Below are 27,266 nucleotides of genomic sequence, written 5' to 3' on the forward strand. Positions count from 1 at the left end.
ACTGCTGGAGGCATTTAGGCTCCTTCTAATATTTGCTTTGAGCTCTTTATATAATTAAAAATTAACCCCCTCAGCCAGGTGTGGCAGCTCACACCTGTAATCCCAGCATTTTGGAAGGCTGAGGTGAGAGAACTGCCTGAGTATAGGAGATCACCACCAACCTGGTCAACATAGTGACACTTTGTCTCTACTAAAAATTAAAAAAAAAAATGAGCTACACGTTGCAGTGCACACCTGTAGTCCCAGCTACTGGGGAGGCTAAGACTGGAGGATCACTTGAGTCTAGAAGGTTGAGGCTGCAGTAAGCTATGATCACACCATTGCACTTTAGCTTTGCTAAGAGCAAGACTGCATTTCTTAAACAAAATAAAAATTAGATGGGAATATTGCTCAAGCCCTGGAGGTTGAGGTTGCAGTTAACTGTGATTGCACCACTGCAGTCCAGCTTAGGTGATGGAGCAAGACCCTTTCTCTAAAAATAAAATAAAAATTAACCTTCTATCATATTTCCCAGTAACACCTTCCCTCCTACATTTCTCCTAGAAGCCCTTAAATTTTGTTTTTCACATATCGTTTAAAACTTTTAAGTGCTGATGTCTGTCTGTGTCATCCCTCTTTTTTTTTTTTTTTTAAATGTCTTTTTGTCACTTCTAGCTGGACCTACCATGAAAGACTTCTGAATCCAGGAAGAGAAACTGACTGGGCAACATGTTATTCAGGTACAAAAAGACTTGGACTGTAACTCAAAAATGATCAAATAATAGTGCATGCATCAAGTGCAATGGGAAGCTCTTCTGGAGAGGGAGAGAAGCTTCCAGTTAAGGTGACATTGAAGCCAAGTCCTGTAAGATAAGGAAGAATTGTATGAGAGTGGGGAGGGAAGGGGGAGGTGGAGGGATGGGGATTGGGCTGGGATGGGATGGAGTGAGCTGCCCAGGCAGGGAAACCAGCACTATACAGACCTGAACAATGAAGATGGCACATTTTGTTCAGGGAATGGTGAATTAAGTGTAGCAGAAATGCTTTGTAGAGACAGTAATTTACTTGTATGGAATTTTGCCCAAGAGACCTCATTACAGTTTCTAATTTTTTGATGTTATCATGCATCACTGCCCTTGTCAGATAGTATCATGATCACAGTAACATCAAGCATAATATTTCATTGATTCTCACAAAAACAGGTGGGTGCCACAGTTATCCCCATTATATGCACAAAATGATGAAGACTTGGGGTTAATGAGTGATTTGCCCAAGCTCACCTGAATATTAAGACTGAATCAAATGTTAGTCTGGTCTGACTTTAATGCTTGCCTTGTTCATGAGCACCATGCATTGCCTCTCCTATGCAGTTAAGCAGTTAGACAGGTGAGAGAAGAGCCCGTGTGATATCGGGGGAAATTCACCCCTGATATTTCATGTAGGTTCTTTTCTGTTTTCCCTGAGTGTCGGCCGATCTGAGAAATAAAGGGAAAGAGTACAAAAGAGAGAAATTTTAAAGCTGGGTGTCCAGGGGAGACATCACATGTCGGCAGGTTCCGTGATGCCCCGCAAGCTGCAAAACCAACAAGTTTTTATTAGTGATTTTCAAAAGGGGAGGGAGTGTACGAATAGGGTGTGGGTCACAGAGATCACTTGCTTCACAAGGTAATAAAATATCACAAGGCAAATGGAGGCAGGGCAAGATCACAGGACCACAGGACCGGGGCGAAATTAAAATTGCTAATGAAGTTTCGGGCACGCATTGTCATTGGTAACATCTTAGGAGAAAGGGTTTGAGAGCAGAAAACCCATCTGACCAAAATTTATTAGGCGGGAATTTCCTTGTCCTGATAAGCCTGGGAGTGCCACGCAAGCCCAGGGCTTATTTCATCCCTTATCTACGACTGTAAAAGACAGCCGTCCCCAAAGCGGCCATTTCAGAGGCCTCCCCTTAGGGATGCATTCTCTTTCTCAGGGATGTTCTTTGCTGAGAAAAAGAATTCAGCAATATTTCTCCTATTTGCTTTTGAAAGAAGAGAAATATGGCTCTGTTCTACTCGGCCCACAGGCAGCCAAAGTTTAAGGTTATCTCCCTTGTTCCCTGAAATTGCTGTTATCCTGTTCTTTATTCAAGGTGCCCAGGTTTCATATTGTTTAAACAACTTGTGCAGTTAACGCAATTATCACAGAGTCCTGCGGGGACATTCATCCTCAGCTTACGAAGATGACCAGATTAAGAAATTAAAGTAAGACAGGCATAGGAAATCACAAGGGTATTGATTGGGGAAGTGATAAGTGTCCATGAAATCTTCACAATTTATGTTCAGAGATTGCAGTAAAGACAGGCCTAAGAAATTATAGAAGTATTAATTTGGGGAACTAATAAATGTCCATGAAATCTTCACAATTTATGTTCTTCTGCCGTGGCTTCAGCCGGTCCCTCCGTTTGGGGTCCCTGACTTCCCGCAACACGTTTTTCTCTACTCACAGGCTTCTGACCAAATGTGTGTGCAGAGTTTCTACACCAGTTCTCCAACTCTCTGGATACCAACCGCGTATCCCACAATTCCATTCTGACACTACCTAGAGTTAGCGCAGAACCCACAGGTTAGGGGCTCAGTCCCACAAGACCACCCTCACTTCAGATGCCAGTTGCAAGTCCTAGGTTGTCACCTGTATTTTGACCAACCAGTTAGAAATCAGGGTTTCCCATGACCCTCTTCTTGAGTTTAATTATTTACTAGAACAACTCACGGAACTTAGAAAAACAGGTTTTTTTCTTTTCTTTTTAAGAGACAGGGCCTCGCTCTGTTGTCCAGGCTGGTGTGCAGTGGTGCAATCATAGCTCATTGAAGCCTCAACCTCCAGGGCTCAAGTGATTCTCCTGCTTCAGCCTCTCAAGTAGCTGGAATTACAGGGTTCCCACCACCACATTTGGCTAATTTCTTTTATTTTTTGTATAGATGGGGTCTTCTTATGTTGACCAGGCTGGTCTCAAATTCCTAGGCTCAAGTGATTCTGCCCACCTCTGCCTCCCAAAGTGCTGGGATTATGGGCATGAGCCAGCGCATCTGGCCACCGTATTTTCTATTACTGGCTCAATGTAATGGCTCCATCTCAGGAACAGCCAATGAAAGAGATGCACAGGACAAGGTAAGTGGGGAGGGGCACAGAGCTTCCATGCCCTCTGTTGGGCACACTACCCTCCCAGGACCTCCTTGTGTTTAGCAACACAGAAGCTCTCCAAACCCTGCTGTTTGGGTTTTTATGGAGGCATGATTGATAAAATCATTGGCCATTGGTAGTTAAGTCAATCTCCAGTTCCTTTTGCCTCCTGGAGTTCAGCAGGTGAGGCTGAAAGTTCCAAGCCTCAAAAAATGTGCTGGGGCCAGGTGCGGTGGCTCACTCCTGTAATCCTAGCAGTTTGGAAGGCTGAGGCACATGGACCACTTGAGGTCAGGAGTTTGAGACCAGCCTGACCAACATGGTGAAACCCCGTTTCTACTAAAAATAACAACAATTAGCTAGGCGTTGTGGCACATCCCTATAATTCCAGCTACTCGGGAGGCTGAGGCAGGAGAATTGCTTGAACCTGGGAGGTGGAGGTTGTAGTGAGCTGAGATTGTGCCATTGCACTCCAGCCTGGGCTACAAGACCCAAACTCCATTTTAAAAGAAAAATGTGGTTGCTTTCTCTGGCAGCTAGCCCTCCTCCTGAAGCAGTCTAGGAGCTTGCAGCCACCCTGTTAGCTCAACAGCATCCCACATGCATTCTTACCATGCTGCAGTTCTGGAAGACCTTAGAGGCCCTTGTGTCAGGAACCTGGGACTAAGACTAAATATCAAAACAGAAAATGCTCCTATTACCTCTGTCACGAAGGGCTTTATAAGAGCTTTGGAAGCTCTATGCCAGGAACCAGGGGCAGAGACCAAATGTATATTTCTTTTCAGTCTCACTCTGCCACTGAGGCTGGAGTGCAGTGATGTGATCATAGCTCACTGCAGCCTTGACCTCCTAGGCTAAAGCAATCCTCCCACCTTAGCCTCTCCAGTAGCTGGAACTACAGGCATGCATCACCATGTCCAGCTGATTTTAATTTTAATTTTGTAAAGGCAGGGTCTTCCTATTTTCCCCAGGCTGATCTCTAACTCTTGGCCTCAAGCAGTCCTTCCTCTTTGGCCTCCCAAAATGTTGGGATTACAGATGGGAGCCCCCATACCCACCAATCACAAGGATCTTTATAAGAGAAGGAGGTAGGAGAGTCAGAATTAGAGAAAGTGATGTGGTAATGGAAGAAGAGGTCAGAGAGGGAGATTTGAAGATGCTGCACTTCTGGCCTTGAATATGGAGTCACGAGGTAAGTCAAGGAATGGGGGTGGCTTCTAGAAGCTGGAAAAGGCAAAGGAGCACATTCTGTCTAGAGCCTCCCCCAGAAGGAATGCAGCCCCTCTGACACCTTGACTTCAGCCTTAATAGACCTAGTTGGGCTTCTGGCCCCCAGAACTGTAAGATGGTAGATTTGTGGTGTTTGATGCCACTGAATGTAGGGTACTTTGTTGTAGTAACAACAAAAAATGAACATGAAGCTGGGACCTCATGTTACAGTTGCTCACGCCTGTAATCCCAGAACTTTAGGAGGCTGAGGTGGGAGGATTGCTTAAGCCCAGGAGCTTAAGACCAGCCTGGGCAACATAATGAGACCTCATGTCTAAAAAAAATTTTTTTAAAAGGCCAGGCGCAGTGGCTCACACCTGTAATCCCAGCACTTTGGGAGGCCGAGGAGGGTGGATCACGAGGTCAGAAGTTCAAGACCAGCCTAGCCAAGATGGTGAAACCCCATCTCTACTAAAAATACAAACATTAGCCAGGTGTGGTGGTGGGTGCCTGTAATCCCAGCTACTCGGGAGGCAGAGAATCACTTGAACCCAAAAGGCAGACATTGCAGTGAGCCAAGATGGCACCCTTACACTTCAGCCTGGGCGACCGAGACTCCGTCTCAAAAAAAAAAAAAAAGCCATGTGTTGTGGCATGCAGCTGTAGTCTCAGTTCCTAGGGTGGCTGAGGCGGGAGGATTGTTTAAGCCTGGGAGGTTGAAGTTGCTGTGAGCTGTGATTGCACCAGTGTACTCCAGCCTGGGCAATAAAGCAAGACCTTGTTTCAAAAAGAAAGAAAGAAATGAGCATGGTAGGAATGGGGACAGATGGCAGTGTTAAGTAGAGTGGTCAGGGTTGGCCTCATAAGTGAATATTGAGCAAAAGTTTGAAGCAGGTGATGGAGCTGGCCAAGGTGCTGAGGGAAGAGCATTGTAGGCTGAGTCAACAGGATAAAGGCATTAGAAGGAAACTCTCTGGTGTGTCTGAGGCTCTGGAAGGAGGCCAGTGGAGCAAAGAGATAGAGGGAGTGAAGTCAGCGAGGAGGCCAGGGAGTTGCTGGGCTGGGATTGGTACAGATTGTGTAAGCCCTGGGACGCTATTGCTGGGGCTTTGGCTTTTACTCTGACTAAAATGGGAACCACCGAGGGCTTCTGAGCAGAGAGGCGATGTGATCTGTCTCCTGATTTAAAAGCACGAACTGGCTGCCAAGTTGAGAAAGACTATGGGAAGATTTGGGTAGAAGCATGGGGGCCAAGCTGTGGCAACATCCCGGTGGGAGATTATAGTGATCCTGACTGGGTTCACGGTGGTGGTGAGAGATGGTCAGAGCCTGGATACATGTTGAAGTCAGTCAGTAGGATTTCCTGACAGACTGGATGTGAGCTGTGAGAGAAGGCAGTGGTCAAGGTTGACTTTGATTCTGATTGAATTATTAAGTAATTTTAAAAAACACTACTGCCTTTCCCAATCCTACCAAGTAAAGGATGCTAGATAAAAGAAATCTCAAGTCAGGCCAGGTGCAGTGGCTCACACCTGTAGTTCCAACAGTTTGAGAGGCAGAGATGGGAGTATGTTTTAAGGCCATGAGTTTGAGAGCAGCCTGGGCAACACAGCAAGACCTCGTCTCTACAAAAATAAAAAAAAATAAATTTAATAAAATAAATATAGCCAGGCATGATGGTATGTACCTATGGCCCCAGTTACTCATGTGGCTGAGATGGGCAGATCTCTTGATTCTAGGAGTTTGAGGCCAGCTTGGGCAACATAGCAAGACTTCTCTCTCTACAAAAATGAAAAAAATGCCTGACATGGTGGTACTTGCCTGTATTCCCAGGTATGGGGGCAGCTGAGGCAGGAGCATCTCTTGAGCCCAGTTGGTCGAGGTTGCAGTGAGCTATGATTATACCACTGCACTCCATCCTGGGTGACAGAGTGGGACCCTGTCTCAAAATACAAATACAAATGAAATCTCAAGTCAGACCAGTCCCTTCTAGGCTATGTAGGCCTTGTAACCACATAGCTGCATGATCGGGTTTGTGTGGCTGTGGATGAGGAGACCCCTGTCCAATTGTTGGCTATGTAATCAGTTTATTTTTCAATATAGTAATCAAATATATTTCATCATACTTGATGGTCTCAGATATGTGTGGATTTTGGAATTCCCCTTGGAACAGGTTGTAACATCTTATTGGCTCCATAATTCCATAATTTTTTAAATCTGATCAGTTTTTAATAAGATCAGAATTGATATTAGACTACTTAATCGGTTTTGTTAATGAGAAAATGAAATTGTGTTGTTTGCATTTTATCCAAGATGGGTGTCATATTGGCTAAATCTCATCAATACTTGAACAAATGCAAAATTAGAGTTTCTTTATCATGAAACACGATGTAATTCTTGAAGAAGATGCCATTTCTTTTTTTTCTTTTTTTTTAAGCTAAGAGTCTTTCTCTTGTCACCCAGGCTGGAGTGCAATGGTGCGATTTTGGCTCACTGCAACCTTCACCTTCTGGGTTCAAGCAATTCTCCTGCCTCAGCGTCCCGAGTAGCTGGGATTACAGGCGCCCGCCACCATACCCAGCTAATTTTTGTATTTTTAGTAGAGATGGGGTTTCACCATGTTGGCCAGGCTCCTCTGGAGCTCCTGACCTCAGGCAATCTGCCTGCCTCAGCCTCCCAAAACTCAAGGAGTACAGATGTGAGCAACCATGCCCGGCCTCCATTTCTTTTTTGTAGTCTTTAATAAACAGCTGCTATCATTGCAGACTTGCTATTTAGGCACTTAGGAATTTTTCACTAGAAGGCATGTAAATAAAGACCATGGGCATTTGTAATGAATTTAGGGTTCATTCTTTGACTACATGACTGTCCCCAGAGCTGTAACTTTATTGAATTTTTTAGAAGCCATTTAGCTAGCAACTGAGCCTAACCAGCCACTCACCGTCATTATTCAGTGCTCTTTTATTATTGTCTATTTCTCCTCCAACTTGGCTACACTCACAAAGTGATAAAAACTTGCATTTGTTTTCTTTCCTTTTCAGAGACAGCGTCTTGCTCTGTTGCTCAGGCTACAGTACAGTGACATGATCATGGTTCACTGTAGCCTCAAACTCCTGGGCTCAAGCGGTTCTCTCACTTGAGTCTCCCAAGTAGCTGGGACTACAGACATGTGCCACCATGTCCAGCTAATTTTTTATCATAGAGACGGGATCTTGCCACGTTGCTCCGACTGGGCTCAAAACTCCTGACCTCAAGTGATCCTCCTGCCTCAGCCTCCCAAAGTGCTGGGATTACAGGCAGGCATGACCACCTGTGCCCAGCCCCCTATTATTATTATTATAAATAATAGCTTTATTAAAATATTCACATACCATTCACTTTATTTATTGAAATCTGCAATTCAGTAGGTTTTAGAATATTCACAGAGCTGTGCATCGATCACCCACAGTCACTTTTAGAACCTTTCATTACCCTATAGAGAAATCCATACCCCTTAGCCACTACCTCCTACTCTCCCCACCTACCTTCGCCCCAGCCTTAGGCAACCATTGATTAATTTTTTGTCACTATAGATTTGCCTAATCTGGACAAATAGAATTGTACAATATGTGATCTTTTGTGGCTTTTTTTCCCTCTTAGCACAGTGTTTTCAAAGTTCCTTTATGTCATAGTGTGTATCAATATTTCATTCCGTCTATGGCAGTATTCCATGGTAGAGACACACTGCATTTTGTTTATCTGTTCATCAGTTGGTGGATATTTGGGTTGTTTCCATGTATTCCATGTATTGGTCATTATGAATAATGCTGCTATGAAGATTGTTGTACAAGTTTTTGTGTGGACATATATTTTTATTTTTCTGGGATATATGCCTAGGAGTGAAATTGTTGCATTATAAGATGACTGTACATTTAGCCTTTTGAGAAACTGCCAGACTGTTTTCTAACATGGCTACACCAGTTGGGTACAATGGCTCACACCTGTAATCCCAGCTACTCAGGAGGCTCAGCTAGGAGGATGGCTTGAGCCCATGAATTCAAGACCAGCCTGGGCAAGATAGTGAAACCCTGTCTTGATTTTTTAAAAATCCAATTAAAATGACAAGAAAAGAAATACCCAAACAAAATGGTTACACGATTTTATGTTCCCGCCAGTAATGTATGTGGGTTCCAATTCCTCCACATCTTCACTGACATTTTTTTTTTTCTAGATAGGGGCTTGCTCTGTCTCTCAGGCCGCAGTGCAATGATGCCATCACAGTTCACTGCAGCCTTGACCTCCCAGGCACAAGTGATTCTCTCATCTCAGCCTTCTGAGTAGCTGAAAATTACAGGTGTATGCCACCATGCCTGGCTAATTTTTATATTTTTCTGTAGTGATGGGATTTTACCATGTTGCCCAGGCTGGTCTCATACTCCTGGCCTCAAGTGATCTGCCCACCTCAGCCTCCCTAAGTTCTGGAATTACAGGCTGCCACCATGCCCGGCCTCCACCAACATTTGCCATTATCTGTTTTTTTTTCTTCCTTTATACCTTAAAGCAGTATAAGAACAAGTGTCTTCAATTATAGGAAACAGTATAATCCCAGGGCATTGGGAGGCTAAGACAGGAAGATGTCTTGATGCCAGGAGTTTTTTTTGTTGTTGTTGTTTTTGTTTTTGTTATTGTTGTTGTTGTTGTTTTTGACAGAGTCTCGCTCTGTCACCCAGGGTGGAGTGCAGTGATGGGGTCCACTGCATCCTCCACCTCCCAGGTTCAAGTGATTCTCCTGCGTCAGCCTCCCGAGTAGGTGAGACTACAGGTACATGCCACTCCTGCCCAACTAATTTTTGTATTTTTGATAGAGTCAGAGTTTCACCATGTTGGCCAGGCTGGTCTTGAACTCCAGACTTCAGGTGATTTGCCTGCCTTAGCTTCCCAAAGTGCTGGGATTACAAGCATGAGCCACCATGCCCAGCCTGATGCCAGGAGTTTTAGACTAGCCTGGGCAACCTAGCAAGACCTTGTCTCTACAGAATATTTAAAAATTAGCCAAATGTGGTGGTGCCTGTGTATAGTCTCTCTCCCTCTCTCTCTTTTTTTTTCTTTCTTTTTGTGACATGGTCTGGCTCTGTCACCCAGGCTGAAGTGCAGTGGTGTGATCATGGGTCACTGCAGCCTGAAACTCCTGGGATCAAGTGATCAATCCTCCCACCTCATCCTACCAAGTAGTAGGGACCACAGTTGTATGCCACCCAGGTCTTGCTATGTTGCCCAGGCTGGTCTTGAGCTCCTGGCCTCAAGCAATCCTCTCACCTTGGCCCCCCACAGTGCAAGGATTACAGGTATGAGCCACCATGCCTGGCCCCTACCCTGCCTATTGAGAACCAAAAGAAGGATCCAAATTCTCCTTAGCTCAACTCGAGCCATTTCCTGATTGCTTCATCAGCAAGGACCTGGTTATTGGGCTGTCCAGGCCTCCCAAGCAGCACAGAAATGAGGTGAAGGAGTTTTCCTGCTGCTCCACTCTGTAAGGAGTTGGAGGGTGATGTTTACTCGTTTGCAGAGAGAGATGCCTTGTAGGCACCTCAGGATGGAGAGGACCCTGATTCCAATGTCCTTTTTTTCTTTAGAAACAGGACCTTGCCCTGTCACTCAGGATGGAGTTCAGTGGTCCTATCATGGTTCATTATAGCCTCAAACTCCCAGGCTCAAGCAATCCTACCATGTCAGCCTTCCCAGTAGCTGGGACTACAGGTAAGCATCGTGACACTCAGTGAATTTTGTTTTTATTTTGTTGTAGAGATGGGACCTCAGTATGTTGCCACGGCTGACCTTGAACTCCTGCACTCAAGGGATTTTCCTGCCCTGGCCTCCCGAAGTATTGGTATTACAGGCATGAGCCATTGTGCCCACCGTCTCTGGTTCTTAACCTTCTGCCTCCCTCTTCCAGTTTTAAAGAATGCTTGTAATTACACGGGCTCTCCTAGATACTCCAGGATAGTCTTGTTTTAAGGTCAGCTGATGAGCAACATTAATTTTATCTGCACTCTTAATTCCCCCTTCCTATGTAATTGTGCTGTGTAACATAGGACATGAGCAATTGCTGGCAGTGGGGGTTATTATTTTGGCCACCACAGTAACTATTTTATGCCAGGTACTCAGCTAAGCACTGGTGAATTAAGCATGAATAACACACACTCCCTAATCTCCATCCATTCATGGGAGGAGCACCTCACCTGCCATGCTCCTGAGAATCTCAGGAGTCAAAGAAGTCTTCTATGAGGAGGTGATGCCAAAGCAGACAAGTGACAGAGGAGTCAAAGCTAGCTAGGAAGAGAGTAGAGGTTTAAGGGGAAGCATATTATAAGCAGAGGATATTACCCACTTCAGAGACTCCCAGAGGAGAAAGAGTGTGCGTTGAAGGGGCAGATGAGGCTCAGTTGGACTTCATAGCAGATGAAATGGAGAGGGGCAAGCAGTAAGGCTGCCTTGCAAGGCAGGGCAGAGCAGGGGCTGTTAAGGAGTTTGGACTTAATCCCTGAGGCAAGGAGAAGTGATGTAAATGGAGTAACATGATGAGATTCATGGATTAGAGACATGGCTCAGGCTGCTGTAGAGAAGGCACCAGGGAGAGCAGATGGCTCAATGGGTGTGCAGGAGACCTCTCACTGAGTTTAGGGAGAGGTTTTTAAAACAGAAGAAGTTTGAGTAATTTAAATGATGATGGGAAGGAGCTAAAAGTGGGGGATAGGTTAAAGATACAGGGAAGTGGGAGGAAGAACTGACAAGTGAGGTTCCAGAGAGGGCAGGAGAAGAGGAGATTCCCATAGGGGGATTAACACTTTCTTTTCTTTTTTCTTTCTAAGACAGGGTCTCACTCTGTCGCCCAGGCTGGAGTGCAGTGGCACAATCTTGGCTCACTGTAGTGTAGACTTCCCAGGCTCAAGGGATTTCTCCCACCCCAGACTCCCAAGTAGCTGGAACTACGGGTGTGCACCACCACCACACCTGGCTAATGTTTCTTTTTTTGGTAGACACAGGGTCTCACTATTTAGCACTGATTGGTCTCCAACTCCTGGCCTCAAGTGATCCTCCTGCCTAGGCTTCCCAAATTGCTGGGATTACAGGCATGAGCCACAATGCCTGGCCTCTGCTAGTTCCGTATTCTCTAGAGTTGTCTTTACTTTGTGCTAGTGTGTCCCTCATTGTGCTGATCCTCTGTAAAAAGTAATACCTTTTTTTTTTTCCGAGATGGAGTTTCACTCTTGTTGCCCAGGCTGGAGTGCAATGGCGCTATCTCGGCTCAGCACAACCTCCACCTGCCGGGTTCAAGCGATTCTCCTGCCTCAGCCTCCCGAGTAGTTGGGATTACAGGCATGTGCCACCATGCCCAGCTAATTTTGTATTTTTAGTAGAGATGGGGTTTCTCCATGCTGGTCAGGCTGGTCTCGAACTCCTGACCTCAGGTGACCTGTCTGCCTTGGCCTCCCAAAGTGCTGGGATTACAGGCATGAGACATTGTGCCTGGCCAAAATTAATACTTTTTATATTAAATTTACATATATATACGTTTTTTCTTTTTGATACCAGGTCTCACACTGTCACCCAGGCTGGAGTACAGTGGCACAACCTCTGCTCACTGCAGCCTCCACCTGCCAGGCTCAAGCAATTCTCCTGCCTCAGCCTCCCGAGTAGCTGGGATTACAAGTAAGTGCCACCACACCCAGCTGATTTTTGTGTTTTTTGTAGAGATGAGGTTTCGCCATGTTTCCCAGACTGTTCTCAAACTCCTGAGCTCAAAGCAGTCCACCCACCTTGGCCTCCCAAAGTGCTGGGATTACAGATGTGAGCCATCTTGCTCATTCTAGTTTAAACTTTTGAGTGGTTTGTGTCTCCTGATTGGACTCCTACAAATACAGAATTGATGCTAGGAAGGGTACCAGGAGATAGACGCACACAGATGGGATTTGGGAATAGGTTTGGTTATCCAAGGAGCAGTGCTGAGCTCCTTGCTAATGGGATATGGGATGCTGATGATTTCCAGGAAGTGACCTCACAATGACTCAAGCTACCACATGCTGTTGATTGTGAAATGCCAGTTGAAGCATATGTCCTGCGAGCTTAGGGGTGCTACAAGTTGACCACTGCAGCAGTAAAGATGACTCTGAAGAATGGCGTGGGATGGATCCTTTCGAATGCACTTGAGCAGCGGTCTCCAACCACAGGGCCACAGAGCTGGAGGTGAGCAGCAGGTGAGTGAAGGGAAACTTCATCTGTATTTCTAGCCCCTCCCATCACTTGCATGACCACCTGAGCTCCATGTCCTGTCAGATCAGCAGCAGCATTAGATTCTCATAGGAGCACAAACTCTGTTGTGAAGTGTGCATGCGAGGGATCTAGGTTGTGTACTCCTTATGAGAATCTAATGCCTGATATTCTGTTACTGTCTCCCATCACCCCAGATGGACAGTCTAGTTGCAGGAAAACAAGCTCAGAGATCCCACTGAGTCTACGTTATAGTGAGTTGTAGAATCATTTCATTATATGTTACTATGTAGTAATAATAGAAATAAAGTGCACAATATATGTAATGCACTTGAATCATCCTGAAATTATTCCCTTACTCCCAGTCTGTGGAAAAATTGTCTTCCACACATTCACTCTGTTTTTTGGTAGAGGCAGGGTCTTAATATATTGCCCAGGCTGATCTCAAACTCCTGGCCTCAAGTAATATACCTCTCTCAGCCTCCCAAAGTGCTGAGATTACAGGCATAAGCCACCACCCTCAACCAAGACTTTCTTAAACCAAATAAAAATTAAGTGAGATTACTTGAGCCCAGGTGGTCAAGGCTGCAGTGAGCCTGATTGCACCACGACTCCAGCCTAGGTGACAGAATGAGACTGTCTCAAAAAATAAAATAAATAAAATAAAATAAAATAAAATAAAATAAAATAAAATAAATAAAATAAAATAAAATAAAATAAAATAAAATAAAATAAATAAAAAAAATAAAATAAAATATAAAATAAAATAAAATATAAAATAAAATATAAAATAAAATAAAATATAAAATAAAATAAAATATAAAATAAAATAAAATATAAAATAAAATAAAATAAAATAAATATAAAATAAAATAAAAAAATAAAATATAAAATAAAATTAAAATAAAATAAAATAAAATAAAATAAAATACAAATTAACCCTTTATGACATTCCCAGTAACTTTCCCTCCTAAGTGTTCCCCACAAGTCTTTGAATTCTGTTTAATTTTCACATAACATTTAAGACATTTAAGAACTTATGTCTATCTGTGTCATCCCTTTATGTCAAAAGATGTCTTTTTGTCACTTCCAGCTGGATCTACCATGAAAGACTTCTGAATCCAGGAAGAGAGACTGACTGGGCAACATGTTATTCAGGTACAAAAAGATTTGGACTATAACTTAAAAATGATCAAATAATAGTGCATGCATCAAGTGCAATGGGAAGCTCTTCTGGAGAGTGAGATAAGCTTCCAGTTAAGGTGACATTGAAGCCAAGTCCTGAAAGATGAGGAAGAGTTGCATGAGAGTGTGGAGGGAAGGGGGAGGTGGAGGGATGGGGAGTGGGCTGGGATGGGATAGCGCAAACTGCCCGGGAAGGAAAACCAGCACTGTACAGACCTGAACAACAAAGATGGCATATTTTGTTCAGGGAATGGTGAATTAAGTGTGGCAGGAATGCTTTGTAGACACAGTAATTTGCTTGTATGGAATTTTGCCTGAGAGACCTCATTGCAGTTTCTGATTTTTTGATGTCATCATCCATCACTGTCCTTGTCAAATAGTTTGGAATAGGTATAATGATCACAATAACCCCAAGCGTAATATTTCGTTAATTCTCACAGAATCACAGGTAGGTGTCACAGTTATCCCCATTTTATGAATGGAGTGATGAAGCCTTAGGAATAATGAAAGATTTGCCCAAGCTCACCTGGATATTAAGACTGAGTCAAATGTTGGGTTTGGTCTGATTTTAATGTTTGCTTTGTTCATGAGCACCACATATTGCCTCTCCTATGCAGTTAAGCAGGTAGGTGACAGAAAAGCCCATGTTTGTCTCTACTCACACACTTCCGACTGAATGTATGTATGGAGTTTCTACACCAAATTCTTCAGTGCTCTGGATATTAACTGGGTATCCCATGACTTTATTCTGACACTACCTGGAGTTAGCACAGACCCCACAAGTTAGGGGCTCAGTCCCATGAGGCCATCCTCACTTCAGATGCCAATGGCAAGTCCTAAGTTGTCACCATACTTTTGACCAACCTGTTACCAATCGGGGGTTCCCATAACTGTCTTCTTGGGTTTAATAATTTGCTAGAACAGTTTACGGAACTCAGAAAAACAGTTTATTTTCTTTTTTTCTGAGAGAGAGGGTCTTATTTTGTTGCCCAGGCTGGTGTGCAATGGTGCAGTCATAGGTCATTGCAGCCTTGATTGTCTGGGCTCCAGTGGTTCTCCCACCTCAGCCTCCCTAGTAGCTGAGACTACATGCCTGCACCACCACATCTGGCTAGTTTATTTTTTGTATAGATGGGGTCTTGTTGTGTTGGCCAGGCTGGCCACAAATTCCTGGTCTCAAGTGATCCTCCCACCTCAGCCTCTGAAAGTGCTGGGATTACAGATGTGAGCTACCACATCTGGCCAGTTCATTTCTTATTACTGGTTCATTGTGAAGGATACATCTCAGAAACAGTCAATGAAAGAGACGTGCATGCTGGATGCAGTGGCTCATGCCTGTAATCTCAGCACTTTGGGAGGCCAAGGTGGGAGGATCGCTTAAACTCAAGAGTTTGAGACCAGCCTGGGCAACATGGTGAAAACCTGTCTCTATAAAAAATTAAAAAAAAAAAAAATAACCGGTGTGGTGGTGTGCACCTAGAGTTCCAACTACTAGGGAAGCTGAGATGAGAGGATACCTTGAGCTGGGGACTGGGGAGGCTTAGGTTACAGTAAGCTGAGATTGTGCCACTGCACTCTAGCTTGGACAAAAGAGCCTGATCCTGTCTCAAAAAAAAGAAAGATACTCAGGGCAAGTTAAGTTCGGAGGGGCACAGAGCTCCCATGCCCTCTGTTGAACATGCGGACCCTCCCAGCATCTCCTGTGTCCAGCAACCCTGAAAGCTCTGCAAACCCCGTTCAGGGTGTTTATGGAGGCTTTATTATGCAAGCATGATTGATAAAATCTTTGGCTGTTGGTGATTAAGTCAGTCTCCAGCCCCTCTTCCTCCTGGAGTTCAGTGCATGAGGCTGAAAGTCCCAAGCCTCTTACCATGTGGTTGCATGGTAATCAGCCCTCCTCTTGAAGAAATTTAGGAGCTTGCAGTCACCCAGTCATCTCAACAACATCCCCAAATGCATTCTTACCATGTTGGAGATCCCAAAGTTCTTAGAGGCTCTTGTGTTAGAAACCTGGGACCAAGACCAAATATTAAAACAAAAGATGTTCCTGTCACATCTATCACTGAGGTCTTTGTAAGAGCTTTAGAAGCTCTATGCCATGAACCAGGGACAGAGATTAAATATATGTTTCTTTTCTTTTTTTTGAGACAGAATCTTCTGTGTCATCCAGGCTGGAGTGCAGTGATGTGATCATAGCTCACTATAGCTTTGGCCTCCTGAGATCAAGCAATCCTCCCATCTCAACCTCCCAAGTAGCTAGGACTACACATGCATGTCACCCATGCCCAGCTCATTTTTGTAGAGTCAGAGTTTCGCCATGGTGGCCAGGTTGGCCATGTTGGCCAGATGGGGTCTTCTTTTGTTGCCCAGGCTGGCCACAAATTCCTGGGCTCAAGTGATCCTCCCACCTCGTCCTTGTAGAGATAAGATTTAGTTATGTTGTCCAGGCTGATCTCAAACTCCTGGGCTAAATCGATTGTCTCACCTCAGCCTCTTAAGTAGCTGGGACTACAGGCGCATACCACCATGTCGGGCTAATATTTATTTTTATTTTTTTCTAGAGGTGGGGGTCTCACTGTATTTTTCATGCTAGTTTCAAACTTTGGGCCTCAAGTGATCCTCCTGCCTTGACCTCCCAAAGTGTTGGGATTCTGGGTGGGAGCCACCATGCCCAGCAATCACAAGGGTCTTTATAAAAGAAAGAGAGTAGGAGATTCAGAATTGGAGCAGGAGATGTGGTGATGAAAGCAGAGGTAAGAGAGGGAGATTTGAAGATGCTTCACCTCTGGCTTTGAAGATGGAATCAGGGGCCGTGATCCAAGGAATGGGGGGTGGCTTCTAGAAGCTGGAAAAGCCAAGGGAACATATTAGAGTCTCCAGAAGGAATGCAGCCCTGCTGACACCTTGACTTTAGCCTTAATAGACCTAGTTTGGGTGTCTGGCCCCTAGAACTGTAAGATGGTAGATTTGTGGTGTTTTAAGCCACTAAATATAGGAAACTGCAAACTACGTTGCAGCAGCAAGAAGAAATGAACATGAAGCCAGGCATGATGGCTCATGCCGGTAATCCCAGCACTTTAGGAATTTAGGCAGGAGGATCACTTGAGGCCAGGAGTTCAAGACCAGTCTGGGCAACATAGTAAGACCTTGTCTCTACAAAAAATGAAAAAATTGGCCAGGTGTGGTGGCTCACACCTGTAATTCCAGCACTTTGGGAGGCTTAAGCGGTCAGATTACCTGAGGTCAGGAGTTTGAGACCAGCCTGGCCAACATTGTGAAACCCCGGCTCTACTAAAAATACAAAAATTAGCTGGGCGTGGTGGCACGCACCTGTAATCCCAGCTACTTGGAAGGCTGAGGCAGTAGAATCACTTGAATCTGGGAGGTGGAGGTTGCAGTGAGCCGGGATCGCACCGTTACACTACAGCCTGGGCAAGAAGAGTGAAACTCTGTCTCAAAATAAAATAAAATAAAATACTAAAAAATTTAGCCAGGCATGGTGGCATGAACCTGGAGTCCCCGGTACTCGGGAGGCTGAGGTGGGAGGATCGCTTGAGCCTGGAAATTTGAGGTTGCAGTGAGCTGTGATTTCGCTACTGCACTCCAGCCTTGGTGACAGTGAGATCTTGAAAAAAAGAAAGAAGAAAGTAAAGAAAGAAGAAATGAGCATGGTGGGCATGGGGACAGATGGCAATGTTAAATAGAATGGTCAGGGGTGGCCTAAGTGAAAATTGAGTAAAGACTTGAAGGAGGGGAAGGAGGTGGCCAAGGTGCTGAGGGAAGAGGATTGTAGGCAGAAACAATAGAATAAACTGTCTGAGGTGTGTCTCCGGCTCTGGAAGGAGGCCCATGGAGCAGATGGAGAGAGGGAGAGAATTAGGGGAGGGAGCCAGGGAGTTGCTGGGTGGGGATCAGTACAGATCACATAAGCCCTGGGAGGTTATTGGTGGGGCTTTGGCTTTTACTCTGACTCAGATGGGAACTGCGGGAGGGTTCTGAGCAGAGAGGTGACATCATCTGTCTCCCGATTTAAAAGTATTCTCTGGCTGCTGAGTTGAGAAAGACTGTGGGAAGATGTGATAGAAGCATGGGGGCCAAGCTTTGGCAACATCCAGGCGGGAGATGATGGTGGTCCTGACCAGGGTCGTGGTGGTGTTGAGAGATGGTCAGAGGGGAGAAGTAGGGGAGGAGGCCAGGGAGTTGCTGGGTGGGGATCTTTAGTAGATGTCGAAGACAATCAACAGGATTTCCTGACAGACTGGATATGGGGTGTGAGAGAAGGCAGGGGTCAAGGTTGAGTTTGATTGTTACTGAAATTATTAAGTAATTTTAAAAAACACTACTGCCTTTCCCAATCCTACCAAGTATGGGATGCTAGATTAAAGAAATCTCTTCAGGCTCATTGCAATGGCTCATGCCTGTAGTACCAGCTGTTTGGTAAGCAGAGGTGCGAGTATCTTTTAAGGGCAGGTGTTCAAGACCAGCCTGGACAACACAGCAAGATCTGCTCTTTACAAAAATATTTTTCAAAATTAAATAAATGTAGCTAGGCATGGTGATGTGTACTTGTAGTTTCAGCTACTCAGGAGGCTGAAGTGGGCAGATCTCTTGAGGTCAGGAGTTTGAGGCCAGTTTGGGCAACATAGCAAGACCCCTCACTCTACAAAAAAATTAAAAAAACCAGGCATGGTGATACTCAACTGTACTACCAGCTACTGGGGAGCTGAGGCAGGAAGATGGCTTGAGCCCAGGAGGTCGAGGCTGCAGCGAGCTGTAAGTGCACAGCTGCACTCCAGTCTGGGTGACAGAGCAGGACCTGTCTCACAATACAAATAAAAATACAAGTAAAATAATACCTCAAGTCAGAGCCTTTTGGCTCTGCAGCCCTTGCAACCCCTCAGCCGTGCAGTGGGGTTTGCGTTGCTGGGAATGAGGAGACCCCTGCCCGGTGTTGTTGCCTGACTAATCAGTGTTTTAAAACATATATTAATCGGGGTGGGCGCGGTGGCTCACACCTGTAATCCCAGCACTTAGGGAGACCCAGGCAGGTGGATCACCTGAGGTCAAGAGTTCAAGACCAGCCTTGCCAACATGGCGAAACTCCTTCTCTACTAAGAAAATACAATAATTAGCTGGACATGGTAGTGGGCGCCTGTAATCCCAGCTACTTGGGAGGCTGAGGTAGGAGAATCGCTTGAACCTGTGGGGCGGAGGTTGCAATGAGCTGAGATTGAGCCACTTCACTCCAGCCTGGGCAAAAGAACAAGACTTTGTCTCAAAGAAAAAAAAAAAGTATTATATCAACATGTAATGGTTTTATTATTAATATGTAATGAATACTAAATATTTTTAAAATTTTATATCAACATGTAATGGCTTTAATATGTGATGAATAATATTTTAAAAATTGTGTCTTATTTTCTGGTTTTAATATAATTATCTACAGAAAGAGTCTTAGAGATCTTCAATAAAGTTAAAAAAGGTAAAGGGATGTTAGACCCCAAAAGATTGAGAATTTCTAGTTTAGAAATATTCAGAGTAAGCCACATACAACTTGCTACTTGAACTATTTTTTTTCTTTGTTTTTTATTTTAGGAGATGGGGTCTCACCCTGTCACCCAGGCTTGAGTACAATAGTGCTATCACAGCTCACTGCAGCCTTGAACTCCTGGGCTAAGGATCCTCCTACCTGAGCCTCCTGAATAGCTAGGACTGTAGGTATACATGACGATACTTGGCTAATTTTTAAATTGTTTTGTAGACATGGGGTCTCACTTTGTTGGCCAGGCTGGTGTCAAACTAATGGCCTCAAGTGACCCTTCCACCCCTGCCTCCCATCCTAGAGGTATGTGCCACCACAAGGAGCACTTGTTCAATTTTCTAAAGAAAAAATTTCTAAAGTAAGGCTGTGGGATGATGGCAGGAAGATAAAAGAAAAACAGAAGAATAAGTTAAAATGACTTATTCACACATATTCTTTTGACAGCAAGAAGAACTTTTAGTATATACATTCCTTACAAACAAACAAAAGGCAGATAAACAATGTTGTGTAGGAACTTCAACACACACTGTACAATATTCCCACTTTGCTGACATAAGTTATGGAAATTTCGTGGTTTACTTGAGTGTCGCTACCAGTATTTTGCTTCTCTGATGATTTTTATCAACTTCCTCATCTGTTAACTTCTCTCCAAGGTATGTCATGTCACGACATACTGCCGCTGCACGAACATGGCCAGTGTCTTCCTATTAAACATGTAGAATGCTTTCCTAATTTCTCTTTTTACTCTCTGTCTTTGTGTTTTGCATTTTCCTTACTTTTATTGTCGGAAACTCCAGAAAGTCAATCGTACTAATTTATCACGATTTGCTTTATTAATTTATACTTTGGTTATATGGAATTTTGCCCAACAGACCTCATTACAGTTTCTAACCTGTTTTATTTTGTTTTTTTTTTTCTGAGACAGGGTCTCCCTCTGTTGTCCAAGGCTGGAGTGTAGTAGTGCTATCGCAGCTGACTGCAGCCTCAACCTTCCAGGCTGAAGCGATCCTCCCATCTCAACCTCCCACGTGGCTGAGACTACAGGTGCTTGCCACTATGCCCAACTAATATTTGGAATTTTCGTATACGTGGATTCCAGAGGGGTGACAGCAAAACGTGAGTAAGCATGGATTTTGGTATATGCAGAGATGGGGGGCTGGAACTAATTCTGTATACTGAGGGACGGCGACTGTATATGTTTTTACAATTACGCTGTAGGATACATACTGTTGCATAGCCTTGAAAATAATAATTTTTAATTGAGTGGAATAATAATATTGATAAAAGTAGCAGCTGGCCAGGTGTGGTGGCTCACACTGGTAATCGCAACACTTTGGGAGGCTGAGGCAGGAGGATGGCTTGAGGCCAAGAGTTTGCGATAGGCCTTGGAAACAAAGAGGGAGTCACCATCCCTACAGAAAAATACATGAATTAGCCTAGTGTGGTGGCATGTTCCTGTAGTCCCAGCTACTTGGGAGGCTGAGGTGGGAACATCACTTGACCCCAGGGAGGCTGAGACTGCAGTGAGTCATGATCAGGCCTCTGCACTCCAGCCTGGGTGACAGAGTGAGACCCTGTCTGAAAACAACAAAAAAGTAGCAGCTAACATCAACTGACCTTTTATACCAGGTGCCTATTGATATCATAGTTTAATTTCTTATAACTGCTTCTTATTTCACTTACCAACTCTGTCTTCAGTTACTCCCAGATTTTTACTGTGTTTGTACAGATGACCTTTTGTTTAGATTGAATTGTCTCCCCAGAAGTAAGATTACTGTGAGACATGGTGAATGGACATTCTCATTACCCTTGATGTAAATTGACAGGGTTTTGGGTGCCTCCCAGCTATAATCTTAGCACTTTGGGAGGCTAAGAGAGGAGGATTGCTTGAGGCCAAGAGTTGGAGGAGGCTGTATGGCAGTATGGTGAGACCCTGTCTCCATTATTTTAAAAAATTGACAAGCTTTACCCGGGAAGGCTTATACACAATTTAAACACCCCTCATAGTATAAGAGAGTGCCCATTTCACTGCACCTTTGCCAGCACAGGGTATTATAATTTAGTAAGTCATTTTTTGTTTGATTATTTTAAATAGATAAAAGACCTCATATTACTTTACTTGTCTCATTTCAACATCTTTCCTTAGCTTATTAGCTGTATTTCTTTTCTGTCTGTAAATGATTGTTGTTTTGTTCTTTGAGACAGGGTCTTGCTCTGTCACCAGGCTGGACTGTAGTGGCATAATCATACCTCACTGCAGCCTTGACCTCCCAGGCTCAAACTTCAGCATTCTGAGTAGCTGGGACTACAAGTGTGCACCACCACTCCCAGCTAACTTTTTTCTTTTTTTTGGATAGAGACAGGGTCTCACTGTGTTGTCCAGACCGGTCTCTAGCTCCTGGCCTTAAGCAATCCTCCTGCATTAGCTTCTCAAATTGCTGGAATTTCAGGCATGAGCCACCATGCCTGGCCTGGGCTAGTCCTGTATTCTCTAGAGTTTTCTTTACTTTGTGCTAGCCAATCTCTCATTATGCTGTTCACCTGTTCTAATGAATAATTCTCCATATTAAATTTTACCACTTTAAACTCTTGAGTGTTTTATGCTTCCTGATTGGACTCTGACTAATATGTTAGGAAGGGTCCCAGGAGATAAACCCACACATGGGATTTGGGCATAGGTTTGGTTTCCCAGGGGGCAGTGCTGAGCTCTTTGCCAGTGGGAAATGGGATGCTGGTGATTTCCAGGAAGTGACCTCACAGTGACTCAAGCTACCACTTACTGTTGATTGTGATGAAATGCCAGCTGAGGCACATGCCTTGGGAGCTAAGTGGTTGCTGCCCTTGACCACTATGAAGACTGGTGTGGGAAGGGTCGCTTTGGATGCACTTGAGCAGGGGTCCCCAACCCCTGAGCCATGGAGCCGTAAGGAGCCACACAGCAGGAGGTGAGTGGTGTCGAGTGAGGGAGTGAGGAAAGCTTCGTCTGTATTTACAGCCACTCCCCTTTGCTCACATTCCCGCCTGAGCTCCACCTTCTCAGATCAGCAGCAGCATTAGATTCTCATAGGAGAACGCACCCTGTTGTGAACTGTGCATGTGAGGGATCTAGGTTGTGCTGTCCTTATGAGAATCTAATACCTATTGATCTGTCACTTTCTCCCATCACGCTCAGGTGGGACCATCCAGTTGCAGGAAAACAAGCTTAACATGCCCACTGATTCTACATTATGGTGAGTTCTATAATTATTTTATTATATATTACAGTGTAATAATGGAAATAAAGTGCCTAATAAATGTAAACGTGCTTAAATCTTTTGGCCCAGCTCCTACCTCCCGGCAGCATCTCCAGGCCCAGAACTTTCTCCAGTCAGCCTCTACAGACCAAGCTCATGACTCACAATGGCCTATTTAGGCCCATACCCTACCTCACGGCAGTCTCCGCAGATGAGCCTACTGCCTCACAACAGCCTCCACAGGCACAGCTCCGTCGTTACAATGGCCTCTTTAGACCCAGCTCCTGCCTCCCAGCCTTCTCTCCAGGCCCTGAACTTTCTCAAGTCGACCTCACCAGGCCCAGCTCATGCTTCTTTGCAGCCTCTCCAGGCCCAGCTCCTGCATCTTGGTGACCCCTCCAGGCACAGCCTCTGCCTCCCGTCGGCCTCTACAGTCCCAACATCTGCCTCACAGCAGATTCTTCAGGCCCAGCATCTGCCTCACTGTGGACCCCCCAAGCCAAGCTCCCAACCTTTCAGCAGCTTCTACACACCCAGCTCCTGCCACCCAGTGGCCTCTTTAGGCCAAGCTCATGCTTCACAAGGGTCTTTCCAGGCCCAATTTTTGTCTCATGGCAACCTTCCCTGGCCAGATTCCTGCCTGTCTCCCAGCAGCCTAGACAGGCCCAGGTCTTGCCTCACACTGGCCTCTCTACATCCAGCTCATGCCTCACGGTGGCCTCTCCAGGCTCAACTCCTGTCCCAGGACGTCATCTCCGGGCCCAAAACTTAAAGTCAGACTCTCTAGTCCCAACTGCTGCCTCCTGGTGGATTATGAAGGCCCAAAATCTCCTCAAGTTGACCTCTACAGGCCCAGCTCCTGCCTCCTGTCAGCGTCTACAGGCCCAACCTCTGCCTTATGGGGGCTTCTCCAGGCCCACCTCTTCCTCTTGGCTGGGTCTACAGGCACAACTGCTGCCTCACAACAGCCTTTTTTGGCCCAGTTCCTGCCCAGCTCCCAGCGGCCCTGGTAGACCCACAACTTCCCGAAGCCAAGCTCCCCAGGCCCAGGTCAGGCCTCACGGTGGCCTCTCCAAGCTCAGCTCCTGCCCTCCAATGGCATCTGCAGGCCCCAAATGGTCTCCAGTCGGTGGGCTCCTCCACGCCAAGCTTGGGCCTCTTGGCGACCTCTGCAGGCCCAAGTTGTCCTGAAGTCGGCCTCTCCCGGCCCTGCCTCCCAGCAAGTAAGCAAGCTCTTTTGGCTCAACTACTGCCGAGCTCCCAACCGCCTTTCTAGGCCCCGAACTTTCTCCAGCCAAGCTCTTCGGGCCTACTTCCTGCCTCCCGGTGGCCTGTACAGGCCCAGCACTGGTTGGAGAACAGCCTCTGCAGGCCCCACTCTTGCCTCCCAGGGGCCTCTCCAGGCCCAGCTCTTGCCCCCACGGCGGCCTCCCGGGGCCAAGTCCCTGCCTGCCTCCCAGCAGCCCGCATGCGGCCCAGCTCCTTCTCACAGTGGCCTGTTGATGCCCAACTCATGCCTCTGGCACCCTGCCCAGAGACATGAGCCCCTGCCTCTCACTGGCTCCTCCCACGCTGAGACAGGTCAGCGTGAGCCCTTGCCTCACACCGGCCCCTCCCACGCTGAGAGGTCAGCATGAGCCCCTTGCCTCACACCGGCCCCTCCCACACTGAGAGAGGTCAGCGTGAGCCCTTGCCTCACACCGGCCCTCTCCCACGCTGAGAGAGGTCAGCGTGAGCCCTTGCCTCACACCGGCCCCTCCCACGCTGAGAGAGGTCAGCGTGAGCCCTTGCCTTACACCGGCCCCTCCCACGCTGACAGAGGTCAGCCTGAGCCCCTTGCCTCACACCGGCCCCTCCCACGCTGACAGAGGTCAGCCTGAGCCCCTTGCGTCACACCGGCCCCTCCCTCGCTGACAGAGGTCAGCGTGAGCCCCTAGCCTCACACCGGCCCCTCCCAGGCTGACAGAGGTCAGCGTGAGCCCCTTGCCTCACACCGGCCCCTCCCACGCTGACAGAAGTCAGCCTGAGCCCCTTGCCTCACACCGGCCCCTCCCTCGCTGACAGAAGTCAGCGTGAGCCCCTTGCCTCACACCGGCCCCTCCCACGCTGACAGAGGTCAGCGGGAGCCCCTTGCCTCACACCGGCCCCTCCCACGCTGACAGAGGTCAGCCTGAGCCCCTTGCCTCACACCGGCCCCTCCCACGCTGACAGAGGTCAGCCTGAGCCCCTTGCGTCACACCGGCCCCTCCCACGCTGACAGAGGTCAGCCTGAGCCCCTTGCCTCACACCGGCCCCTCCCACGCTGACAGAGGTCAGCAGGAGCCCCTAGCCTCACACCGGCCCCTCCCACGCTGACAGAGGTCAGCAGGAGCCCCTTGCCTCACACCGGCTCCTCCCACGCTGACAGAGGTCAGCCTGAGCCCCTTGCCTCACACCGGCCCCTCCCACGCTGACAGAGGTCAGCGGGAGCCCCTTGCCTCACACCGGCCCCTCCCAGGCTGACAGAGGTCCGCGGGAGCCCCTAGCCTCACACCGGCCCCTCCGACACTGACAGAGGTCCGCGGGAGCCCCTTGCCTCACACCGGCCCCTCCCATGCTGACAGAGGTCAGCGTGAGCCCCTTGCCTCACACCGGCCCCTCCCACGCTGACAGAGGTCAGCCTGAGCCCCTTGCCTCACACCGGCCCCTCCCACGCTGACAGGTCAGCCTCAGCTCCTAGCCTCACACCGGCCCCTCCCAGGCTGACAGAGGTCCGCGGGAGCCCCTAGCCTCACACCGGCCCCTCCCACGCTGAGAGAGGTCAACGTGAGCCCCTTGCCTCACACCGGCCCCTCCCACGCTGACAGAGGTCAGCGGGAGCCCCTAGCCTCACGCCAGCCCCTCCCACGCTGACAGAGGTCAGCGGGAGCCCCTTGCCTCACACCGGCCCCTTCCACGCTGAGAGACGTCAGCGTGAGCCCTTGCCTCACATCGGCCCCTTCCACGCTGAGAGAGGTCAGCGTGAGCCCCTGCCTCAACAGGCCACCGTGAGGGAGGAGCAGGCTTGCACGCGGGCTGCTGGGAGGCAGGCAGGGACTTGGGCCTGGGAGGTCACAGTGGGGCGAGAGCTGGGCCTGGAGACACCCCTGGGAGGCAACAGCGGGGCCTGCAGATGCTCTTCTCCAGCCGGAGCTGGGACTGTTCAGGCTACTGGTGGCGGGATGTGGGCCTGAGAGCTTGGTTGCAGAAACTTCGGGGTCTACAAAGGCCGGCGGGAGCTGAGCCAAAAGAGCTTGTTTGCTGGGAGGCAGGAGCTGGGCCGGGAGATGCAGCCAGGAGGAACAGCTGGGCCTGAAGAGGCCCCCATGTGGGAGGCAGAGGCCGGGCCTCCTCAAGTCGGCCTCTCCAGACCCACTTGCAGCCTCCCAGCGTCCTCTCCGGGCCCAGCTCTTCCTCCCGGCTGCGTCTCCAGGCCCGACTCTGGCCTCCCAACAACGTCTTTGGACTCAGCTCCTGCCCAGCTCCCAGCGGCCCTGGTAGACCCACAACTTCCTGAAGCCAAGCTCCCCAGGCCCAGCTCAGGCCTCACGGTGGCCTCTCCAGGCTCAGCTCCTGCCCTCCGATGGCATCTGCAGGCCCCAAATGGCCTCCGGTCGGTGGGCTCCTCTAGGCCCAGCTTGGGCCTCCCGGCGGCCTCTGCAGGCCCAAAACGTCCCGAAGTTGGCCTCTCCAGGCCCAGCTCCGGCCTCCTGGCGGCCTTTGCAGGCCCAAGTCGTCCTCAAGTCGGCCTGGAATTAGGCCTGGAAGAGCAGCAAGTCAGCCTCTCCGGGCCCAGCTCCATCCTCTCGGCGGCCTCTCCAGGTGCAAAACTTCCTCGAGTCAGCCTCTCCAGGCCCAGCTCCTCCTGCCTCCCAGTGGCCTCTTTCAGCCCAGCCCAGCCCAGCTCATGGCTCTCGGCAGCCTTCCCAGGCCCCGCTTTTGACTTTTGGCGGCCTCTTCAGGCCCAGAACTTGCCCTCCAGTGGACCTTTGCAGGCCCGGCCTCGGCCTCGGCCTCACAGCGGACTCTCCACGCCCAGCTAGCTCTCACCTCACTGCGGCCTCCCCAGTCCAAAGCTCCTGCCTTTCGGCCGCTTCGGCAGGTCCAGCTCCTGCCTGCCAGTGGCCTCTTTAGGCCCAGCTCATTCCTCACAATGGTCTTCCCAGGCCCCGTTTTTCCCTTCTGGCAGCCTCTTGGCCTCTAATTTGTTTATCTTTTGTGTATAAATCCCAAAATATGGAATTTTGGAATATTTCCACCATTATATGAATATTTTGGTAGGTAATTTATTTGGAGTTAGTTTCTGCACCATGCCCGAATTTTTTATTTTATTTTCCTTATTATTTGGTGTTAAACAGATTTAATGACGGTCATGGCAACTTTTTGGCACAATGAAAAATATCGCCCATGATTAATGTGTTCTGTTCTGGGGAAGGGGGCAAAGGCAGGGTGAATCACTTTCTTAAAAAGTATAGCTCAAGTTGGGAGTGCAGAGGGAATGGGGAGAAAACCCTCCCGCTGCCTGTGTCGAAGTGCAGGAGCCCCCACCCCCATACTCACCTGAGTCCAGCCCCTCTGGGGAAAGAAGGGGTGCATGAACTCCCCCTAGTCCACAGGCGCCTCCATGTGGCCCAAGGCCCTCTTCACACTCCATCTTGTAGCCCCAGCAGGAGCTATTTTCCGAAAAG

The 27,266-nt window shown here is 47.6% G+C and overlaps 2 long non-coding RNA genes across 10 annotated transcripts in view; both read left to right on the plus strand.

Moving 5' to 3' along the window:
- LOC101929540 (uncharacterized) overlaps nucleotides 1-10,174 on the plus strand; it is a 32,174-nt gene extending 22,000 nt beyond the window's left edge. For 3 of the 9 annotated variants that reach the window (XR_007062118.1, XR_007062123.1, XR_002957067.2), the window contains 2 exons: nucleotides 655-719; nucleotides 7,395-7,417. This is a non-coding gene — a long non-coding RNA (uncharacterized LOC101929540). Of the gene's footprint in view, nucleotides 1-654; nucleotides 2,855-7,394; nucleotides 7,418-9,663; nucleotides 9,960-10,135 lie in introns of those variants that run through there. The other 6 variants (XR_007062117.1, XR_007062122.1, XR_007062119.1 and 3 more) reach the window with 5 other exon arrangements.
- On the plus strand, nucleotides 2,982-26,989 carry LINC00999 (long intergenic non-protein coding RNA 999). The gene is made up of 8 exons (NR_024497.2): nucleotides 2,982-3,132; nucleotides 9,966-10,089; nucleotides 11,926-12,042; nucleotides 12,380-12,587; nucleotides 13,694-13,758; nucleotides 20,253-20,443; nucleotides 22,500-22,557; nucleotides 22,651-26,989. It is a non-coding gene; the product is annotated as a long intergenic non-protein coding RNA 999 (long non-coding RNA).
- The last annotated feature ends 277 nt before the right edge of the window (nucleotides 26,990-27,266 follow it).

The sequence above is a fragment of the Homo sapiens genome, chromosome 10 (assembly GCF_000001405.40).
Source record: "Homo sapiens chromosome 10, GRCh38.p14 Primary Assembly".
In the NCBI taxonomy this organism is placed as follows: Eukaryota; Metazoa; Chordata; class Mammalia; order Primates; family Hominidae; genus Homo; species Homo sapiens.